General features: G+C 47.9%; 2 annotated features.

The window, feature by feature from the left end:
• Positions 1-502: an enhancer, noted in NCBI's record as "H3K4me1 hESC enhancer chr13:27936491-27936992 (GRCh37/hg19 assembly coordinates)". NCBI's record gives its function as "activates a minimal SCP1, AML or CMV promoter by ChIP-STARR-seq in naive H9 embryonic stem cells {active_cell/tissue: H9 hESC(naive)}" and the evidence as "EXISTENCE:reporter gene assay evidence [ECO:0000049][PMID:30033119]".
• Positions 9,620-9,689: an enhancer, noted in NCBI's record as "active region_7502". NCBI's record gives its function as "activates an Ori minimal core promoter by ATAC-STARR-seq in GM12878 lymphoblastoid cells {active_cell/tissue: GM12878}" and the evidence as "EXISTENCE:reporter gene assay evidence [ECO:0000049][PMID:35858748]".

Here is a 10,054-nt window from a genome sequence, read left to right as displayed (position 1 = left end):
TGCTGGCCTGGAGAAGAGGTTCCATCAAGCTGCACCCACCCCTCGGTCTCCCTGGGACGTCTGATCAGTGAGTGACTTGTGCACACTTTCGATTATCCCACGCAGGACACAATCGTCAGCCACCGGGGCCCTGAGCAAAAGCCCTGCTCTTGGCAACCAGCCTTCCTAGAAGGCCAACGAACTGCGCCACCCAAAGGACATCTAGGTGAGGCAGCGATTCTTCAAGGAAGATGTCAGATGGGGCCGGAGGCAAGGCCCCCCGCCTCTGCAGAGGGGCGTCCAAGTCCCCAAACAGCAGCGGCGACAGGGAGAGAGGGGACAGTCCAACCTAAGAGGTCCAGGACAGACCTCTGTGCAGGCAGCGACCGACCTGTGAGCGCCGCTCTGGGCGCGGGAGCGAGGCGAGGCGGAGCCACGGGTCAGGGCGGACCCCGGGGAGCTCTGGACTCTGAGAGCCAACGGAAAAAGGGGTCACAAACCACACGCACGTCCCCCAAAAGAAAACAAAACCGGCTAACCAGGCTCATTAAAAGGTGAAGCCCCAGAGCCAGGAAGTAGCTGATTACCTTCAGGTCGTTGAGTAGCAGGATGTGAAGGACCCCAGAGAGCGCATTGGCTCCAGCTTTGTTTGGGGACTAGCTTCGCGGCCACTCCTAGGCGCGCCTGCGGCCAGCGGGTCATGCCTTGGGGCCTGGCGCCATCTGCTGGCCATCGCTGTTCCTAACCCACTGCCCTCCCTACTCCTCACTTAGTTTCCTGTGAGACCTGTATGCAACAACAGGGAGACAGGGAGGCTTGTATCCGCGGCTCACCTACCTGCCTTTGGGCTCTTTTAGTCTCCAAAGCAGCGAAGATTTCCTAAGAAGTGCCCATACTGAAACGCCCTTCCTCTAGGGTCGCTTGAGCCCAGGAGATCGAGGTTGATCGAGGTTGCAGGAAGCTATGATCGGGCCACTGCACTCCAGCCTGGGTAACATAGCAAGACCCCTTCTCTACACACACACACACACACACACACACACACACACACACACACACACACACACACACGACAGAGGCCGGACGAGATGGCTCACACCTGTAATCCCAGCACTTTGAGAGGCCGAGGAGGGCGGATCACTTGAGGTCGGGAGTTCAAGACCAGCCTGGCCAACACGGTGAAACCCTGTCTCTACTAGAAATACAAAAATTAGTTGGGCGTGGTGGCGGGTGCCTGTAGTCCCAGAAGCTCAGGCAGGAGAATCACTTGAACCCAGAGGCGGAGGTTGCAGTGAGCCGAGTTCGCACCACTGCACTCCAGCCTGGGTGATAGAGCGAGACTCCCTCTCAAAAAAAAAAAAACTGAATTTCAGAAATAAATAAATAAAAATAATAAATAAAACATGCTTCCTCTCCTCAGCCCGCACCTGGGTTATGGGGGCAGGGTGCGAGCACACAAACACACACACAACTTCATAGTGGAGGGAACCGACCAGCAATGGCTGACTAACTTGGAAAAGGTAATTGGAGAAGGATATGAATCTCTTCCCAAAACAATCTAAACCCAGCCTCATTGGACAGCTGCTCAGTGAGCCAAATAATAAAGTCAGTGAGCACCTCGAAAACATGCCAATCTATATGTTCAACCATCTCACTGCTTCCTGCAAAATAACGGCTTAAAGGGGGACACAGGCATCTTTGTCATTCCTCTCATTCCCTGGTCCCTGGTCCAGCACACGATGGGATGGGCAGCTGTGCTGGCAGAGGAACCCAGTTCTTCTTCTTCTTTTTTTTTTTTTTTTTTTTTTGACACGGTCTCAGTCGCCCAGGCTGGAGTGCAGTAGCATGATTTCGGCTCACTGCAACTTCCGTCTCCTGGGTTCAAGCGATTCTCCTGCCTCAGTCTCCCAAGTAGCTGGGACTACAGGTGCCCGTCACCAAGTCCAGATAATTTTCGTATTTTTAGTACAGATGGGGTTTCACTCTGTTGCCCAGTCTGGTCTCGAACTCCTGACCTCCGGTGATCCACCCGCCTCAGCTTCCCAAAGTGCTGGGGTTATAGGAGTGAGCCACTGCGCCTGGCCGGAACCCAGTTCTTAAAGATGGAATTAGTTGATTCATTCAACAAATAAGTACTGAGTGCCTCCGAGGTGCAGGCACTATTTGTTGCCAAGAAAGCAGAGAACAAACATGGAATGTTAATGATGCATGCATGGTAGCTGGGAGAGGCAGATGAGAAATAAGGAGACGAGAAATCAGCTACACTGATGAGTGTAGCTGTTACAAGGGAGATGAAATGTCTGGTGATGATTTTATAGTTGAGAGGGCCCAGTGAAAAGGGATCCCTTAGAGTGGCTCTGAATGACTCTGAAAAGCCAGCTTGGGTGCAGAGTGAGCATTCCAAGGAGGACCCCTGAGGCAAGAACAAGGTTAGGTTTGAATGGGACACCCTGCTGTGTGTCTGCAGGAAGAGGAGGAAAGACATGAGTTGAGCATCTTACCTGTGCAGGTATCATTCTAGAACATGAGGTATTTTTTATGAGAGAAACTGGCACTTCCATACAATAGGAGGGAGTACCAGATGTGTAAGTAAGTAACTGAAATGCAATTTCAAAACAGTATCTTCCCCTGCAGAAAAGAATGTTTTCCCAAGATGAAAATCTCATTAGGACAAGAATGAACATTATGTTTCCAGTGTTTTATGATAGAGAAAGTAAATTATTATGATTATTTTTATTTATTTATTTATTTACTTATTTATTTTGAGACGGGGTCTCTGTTGCCTAGGCTGGAGTGCAGTGGTGAGATCTTGGCTCACTGCAACCTCCGCCTCTTAGGTTTGCTTCAGTGATTCTCCTGCCCCAACCTCCCGAGTAGCTGGGATTACATGTGTGTGCCACCACGCCTGGCTAATTTTTGTATTTTTAGTAGAGAGAGGGTTTCACCATGTTGGCCAGGCTGGTATCCAACTCCTGGCCTCAAGTGATCCACCTGCCTCAGCCTTCCAAAGTGCTGGGATTACAGGCGTGAGCCACCGTGGCCGGCCAATTTTTATCATTATTATTTTCAGAGACAGAGTCTCACTCTGCCAGGCTGCCACTCATTCCCAGGCTGGAGTGCAGTGGCATGATCACAGCTCACTGCAGCCTCAATCTCCTGGGCTCAAGCGATCCTCCAGCCTCCAGAGCAGCCAGGACCACAGGTGTGCACCACCATGCCCAGCAGATTTTTAAAAATTGTTTTGTAGGGATGGGAGTTTTGCAACGTTGCCCAGGCTGGTCTCCAACTCCTGGGCTCAAGCAATCCTCCTACCTCAGCTTCTGAAAGTGCTGGGATTACAGGCATGAGCCACCATTCCAGACCTAGAAAATAAGTTAGATATTCCATTCAGTTTTTAAATTATGGACAAATTTTTGTTTATAAGAAGACAGTGATAGTGTGGGCTACAGCAAGACAGACACCCGTGCGGGTGATGCCACGAGGTGGAGCTGTAGTCTCAAAAAAGCAGAGCCTGGCCCTAAACCGGCAGAAGTGGAGCCTGGAGTTTCTGTCTTTCTTCTCTTTCCCTAGAGGGAAGGGTCATTTTTAAACATCTCCCTCTTACACATTACCCAAGGCCTGACTTTACCTTTTCTTTTCAAGAGCATGAGTTATTTTAACCCCCTCCCATTGTCCTATGTTCCACTGTCTCCTCCAGCCCAAAGGCCCCTCAGTCACTTGGAGCCTCCCCAAGGGAACGAGGTAGCAGAAGGAATGGAAAGCTTGTCAAATCAGACTTTCTAGTTCCCATCAGAAGAAAGGCTTGCAGGAATGTGCTTGCTGGAAGTGGGGGTTAAAGAGGGGTGATGATTGCGTACAAACTCCAGAATAGAAGAAGAGTTACCTGTAATAATAATGTAGGAGTCGGAGTGAAGAAGTAAGAAACAACCAACATTTGAGCACTTAACAACTTGCCCAGCACAATGCCAAATGCTCTGCTCAACTCCATATCTTAATTTCGTAATTCCACAAGGTAGGTGCTGTTATTGGCCCCAACAGAGATAAGAAGTCTGAGGCTCAAAGAGGTTATGTCATTGGAAGTAAGGGATTTGAATCCAGACACCCTGACTCCAGAGCCCAAGAAATTATTATGTGTGAAAAACCCCAAATTGGGCTTTCCAGATGGGCACAAGTCAATTCAGGCTATTCAATTAGCTATGCACTCCTAGCAAGAGGTGGAAGGTAACGTCCAAAACAAAAGACACCTGTGGTTCCACCCCCAGCCCCACTCACTGTAGCATTCATCTGCTGAGCTACCTGGATTGCTTGGATGCATCTCCACATTTCCTCCTTCCTTTCCTTCCTTCCTTCATTCTTCTCTCTCTTTCTTTTTGTTTTGTTTGTTTGTTTGTTTTTTGAGACGGAGTCTCACTCTGTCGCCCAAGCTGGAGTGCAGTGGCGTGATCTCGGCTCGCTGCAAGCTCCGCCTTCCGGGTTCACGCTATTCTCCTGCCTCAGCCTCCTGAGTAGCTGGGATTACAGGTGCCCGCCACCACGCCCGGCTAATTTTTTGTATTTTTATTAGAGATGGGGTTTCATCGTGTTAGCCAGGATGGTCTCAATCTCCTGACCTCGTGATCCGCCCACCTCAGCCTCCCAAAGTGCTGGATTACAGGCATGAGCCACTGCACCGGGCCCATCTTCTCTATTTCTTCTTTCCTTTCCCTTCCTTTCCTTTTCTTTTCTTTCCTTTCCTTTCCTTTCCTTTCCTTTTTCCTTTCCCTTCCCTTCCCTTCCCTTCCCTTCCCTTCCCCTCCCCTCCCCTCCCTTCCCTTCCCTTCCCTTCCTTCCCTGTCCTGTCCTTTCCCTTCCCTCCCCTCCCCTCCCTCCCTCCCTCCCTCCTTCCTTCCTTCCTTCCTCCCTTCTTTCCCTTCCTCCCTCCCTCCCTCCTTCCTTCCTTCTTTCTTTCTTTTCCTTCCTTCCTTGCTTTTTACAAAGCCTCACTCTGTTACCCAGGCCAGTTTCAAACTCCTGGCCTCAGGTGATCCTCCTGCCTCAGCCACCCAAAGTGCTGGGATTACAGGCATAAGCCACCATGCCCAGCCTGCATTGCATTTCTAATGCTGCATTGAAACTCTTGGTTTACATGTATATCTCCCCTATTTACTCAGAGGTTAGTATTGGCAGGAACTTTTTTACTATTTTTGTATCCCAGCTGCTATAATATCCCCAGATATTAAATAGGTATATCTCACCTAATTAATATGACATTTAAAATTTTAATTTTATTACAGAAAATTTCGAACATACATAAAGTTTTTAAGTTTGATAAACCCACAAATATGCGTCACTCAGTTTCAATCATTAGCACTTTTTCATGTTGCATATTTTTAAGTGCAAAAAGAAAAAGAACAATCATCTATTGAATGTTTACTGGATGTTACTCTGTTCTCAGCCTTTTACTGCCCACAGCCTTGAAGGAAGACACCGAATGTCAACATTGTCTAGCCAGTAGGCAGTAGGGGCAGGATCTGGCCCCAGTCAGTCTCACTCTCGAATTCATGCCCAGAATTACCTTGACCTGCTGCTTGTCTCATAGTAGACCCAAGAAATGTCGTTTGAGCAGAATGTAATTGAATCCCAGTTTACATATTAGGAACCGTGATGAGTTAAAGGAGGTAACCAGATAGTCATGGGAAAGTCACCTAAAAAATACTGAAAGGGGGCTGGGTGTGGTGGCTCATGCCTGTAATCCCAGCACGTTGGGAGGCCAAAGCAGGCAGATCACGAGGTCAGGAGATTGAGACCATCCTGGCTAACATGGTGAAACCCCGTCTCTACTAAAAATACCAAAAAAAAAAAAAAATTAGCGGGGCGTGGTGGCGGGCACCTGTAGTCCCAGCTACTCAGGAGGCTGAGGCAGGAGAATTGCTTGAACCCAGGAGGCGGGGCTTGCAGTGAGCTGAGATGGCACCACTGCACTCCAGCCTGGGTGACAGAGCGAGAATCCTTCTCAAAAAAAAATTAAAATTAAAAAAAAATTAAAAAAATTTAAAAAAATACTGAAAGGATGTTTAAGCGGAGGAAGGTGAAGAATCCCATGACAAATGTGTTTAGAAGAGAAATGAGACTCACTCTGTGTGGCTGGAGAGGAAGACTTCAAAAGGGGCCCAGGGAGGCAGATTTTCATTCAATATAAATAATTTTTAAGCAATTAGAGAAGAATGAAAAATAATCTGGAAGATCATTGGTCAGAGATCTGATTGCTATAAAGGTTGCTCTAAAGGAGATGCCTGGATTTGTGGCCAGTAAATTAGACAATATCCAAAGTCCCTTCCAACTACTATGGCCTGCAGTTTTATGCTTTGCACATACAGGGTTTGAGGGTGATGGCAAGACAGGAGGAATGTGTGTTTTTAGACCTCAGTGACTGGAAGAATAGCAGGACCATGCCCAGAGACAGAAAAACCGAGAAGGAGCTAGTTTCAAAAAGGAAGATAAACCTGGTTTTAGACAGATTTGTTTTTTAGTGTGAAAGGAGGAGAGCGTTTGTTTCCAGAAGTATTTTAGGAAGTCTCCATGGGAGGCAAATGTGGAAGAGAGGAAAGGAAATGGATAGGAGAGGAGGCCATGTCAGGTGCGCGCTGGACAAAGGCCTGGGAGCAGGACCAAACCTAGGACAGGCTCCAGGACAGCCCTGCGTCCTCACACAGAGCAGCTCAGCAGTCTGCTGTCATATGTGTCCTGCTGTCATCCACTCTGCACCTCCCACCTTTCCAGCGCCTGGAGTTCCGAGGCTTTCAGTTTCCAATCCCTGGCTGAGAGTTTTCAGAGGCTTGTGCTGGTTAAAGGGTAGTAGCAGAAATCTGCCCAGCAGTAGGTGGGGATCAGGTTGCACAGTGCCTGGGCACCAATCAAAACATTGGGGTTTTTATCTCAAGCCACGAAAGGTTGGAACAGAAGAGTGACATGGTGGGAACCGGTCTGGAAGAAGAATAATCCCATGGTAGATTTTGGCTTGATCAGCAGTGGGGCGATCTGGAAGCACGGGGTTGCCAGAGGATTACTGGACCACCCAAGGGCCTGAGATTTCTTGTCTGTGCAGTTTACACTGGCTGCTCCCTCAGACTGAAAACTGCCTTCCTGCCCTGCAGTCCTCCACCTGGGGCAGCTCCCATTTCCCTTTTAGATCCAGCTGAAGTTTCTCTTCCCTGAAGTCCTCCCAGGGCCCTGCCAGCCCAGCCCAGCCCCTAGGCAGGGAGCCTCCATAGACCCTTTAATGCGTCAATCTCATTTCTAGACAATTAGTAGCTTGAGGACTGGGATTGTGTTTTATTCAGTTTTAAATTTTCATTTGTAAATATTTAGGGGATACAAGTGCAGGCTTCTTACAGGCACATAGTTCGCTGTGGTGAAGTCTGGGCTTTGAGTGCACCCATCACCCGAACAGTGAACACTGTACTCAATAGGTAATTTTTTCAACCCTCACCCCACTCCCACTTCCCCACCTTTTGGCATTTCCTGTCTATTTTTCCACTCTGCTTGTCCATAGGTATCCATTGTATAGCTCCCACTTGTAAGTGACAATATGCAGTATTTAACTTTCTGAGTCATTTCACTTAGGATAATGGCCTCCAGTTCCATCACTGTTGCTACAAAAGACATTATTTTATTTATTTATTTATTTATTTATTTATTTATTTATTTATTTATTTATTTATTTATTCTGAGACAAAGTCTCACTCTGTTGCCCTGGCTGGAGTGCAGTGGTGTGATCTCGGCTCACTGCAACCTCCACCTCCCAGGTTCATGCGATTCACCTGCCTCAGCCTCCGAAGTAGCTGGGATTACAGGCGCCCACCATGCCCGGCTAATTTTTGTACTTTTAATAGAGACGGGGTTCCACCATGTTGGCCAGGCTGGTCTGGAACTCCTGACCTCAAGTGATCCTCCTGCCTCAGCCTCCCAAAGTGCTGGGATTACAGGTGTGAGCCACTGTGCCCAGCCTTAATTTTATTTTTTTAAGGGCAAGTAGCATTCCATGATGTATATATACCACATTTTTAAAATAATGCCCCGTTGATGAACACTTAGGTTGATTCCCTATCTTTGCTATTGTGAATAGTGCTGGAATAAACATATGAGTGCAGATATGTTTTTGATATAATGAGTTATTTTCCTTTGGGCAGATGCCCGGTAGTGGGACTGCTGGGTGGAACGGTAGCTCTATTTTTAGTTCTTTGAGCAATTGCCATACTGTTTTCCACAGTGAATGAACTAATTTACGTTCCCACCAGCAGGGTTCCCTTTCTCCACATCTTCACCAACATCTGTTGTTTTTTTACTTTTTAATAATAGCCATTCTGACTGGTGTAAGATGCTCTCTCATTGCATTTTATTCATTTTTATAACTCTAGGGCTGAGCATGGCATCTGACAGACTAAATGCTGCATGAATGTTGAGTCATGAATAGACAGGGGCTGGATGCAGGAAGGAACAAATCAAAGCATGAAGGAATGAATGAATGAATTTCATGGTGACAACTCCGAGGAGAGTGATATGAGGATGTTAGGGAAAAGGAGTGGAGAGCATAAGGGATACTCCTTTTCCCTATCTGCCCATCCTCAAAAAGTTGGAAAGTTCTTTGTGCTGGTTCTTTCTGGTGCCGGGGAGACGGCAGCAGTGAGTGGGCAGAATGCTTGCCTGGCTGTGGGGCGCAGCAGCCTGGAGGGCTGCTCTGAGCAGGACCAAGATCTGCCCATGCACCTTGATTCAACCGGCTCTTTTTATCAACCAGGGTCACAGGGCATGGGAGTCTCCTTCCTCTGGACTACTAATTTTTTTGTTTTAAGAGACAAATAGAAATCCCTCTTTGTACATGATATCCTCTGTGCTTCTTATATAAACCATTACTGAGACACTATGTCACTTTTATGGTTGTGTCTCTGTCTTGTCACACATCTGGACATTCTCTGTCAGTGATCCTGATCTGCATAGACTGAGGCTTTTGTTGTGTGTAACAGACACTGTTTGAGCGTGGGGAAATTGCAGTCAGGTCTGTACTATCTTCTTCTCTGAATAAGCAGAAAACAAAGGAGAAGAAAACTCCAGAATTGGATGTGGCCTTTACTAGCACAAACCCCTACTTGTTTCGCTGAATTGTTCCCCCGATTATCTAGCTTTAAAGTCTCCCCCTTTAGGAGAGACCAGACAGCAGAGGGGTCAAGTACTGCTATCCCTGCTCTGCTAATCATTGGCTGTGTGGCCTTGGGCAAGTTACTGAATCTGTCTGAGCTTCAGCCTTCGAATCTGTCAGATGAGGTACTTTTAGTAGCTACACAAAGACAGTGCATAAAGCGCTTAGCAGAGTGCTTCACAGCGCTCAGAGCCAGAGCTGTTCTTACCTCGTTTCTGAACCACCCTTTCTGGTGCCTGCGTCTGAACATTTGGTCTCTGTTCCACAGCTGAGATGAGGCTATCCTGGGTGCTGCAGACTAATGACTGAAAAGAACTGTGCCTTACAAAATCTCGGTCACCTCAGAACGAAACTGCTTATGCGGAACACAATGAGATCTTTAAGCAGACCTGCAAAGCAGTTTCTCTTTTAGTATAATCAAACGTGAGTCATGGTGTTTGAGATTCTCTTGCAGTGACTCCAGCTTTCCTCCCTCCAGCTGAAGGCCCCTCTAAGGGCACGAAAGACCTCTCTGCTGGGGTGGTGCCTCCCAAATCCACATCTTCCCATGAGAGACATCTCGTTCACCCCAGTCCTCCTAAATCCCACAAACCTGATGTGGGGTTTCAGGCAGCACCATATGAAGAAGAGTGGCGCCCGGTCCCAGATGCACACACAGCACCCCCAGACACATACAGCACCCCAGACGCACACACAGCACCCCCAGACACACACAGCACCCCAGACACACACACACAGCACCCCCAGACGCACACACAGCACCCCCAGACGCACACACAGCACGCCACTGGCTCGGGTGCATCGAGAACACTTGAGGCCTGAGGACTCTCCGTAAATATTTATTGAATGCATTGCACTGCAGGCACAGTCCTTGACTATAGCCCTCTCTGGAAAAATAGT

Source organism: Homo sapiens, chromosome 13 (genome assembly GCF_000001405.40).
Source record: "Homo sapiens chromosome 13, GRCh38.p14 Primary Assembly".
NCBI lineage: Eukaryota > Metazoa > Chordata > Mammalia > Primates > Hominidae > Homo > Homo sapiens.
This window is presented reverse-complemented; position numbering and strand designations above follow the sequence as displayed.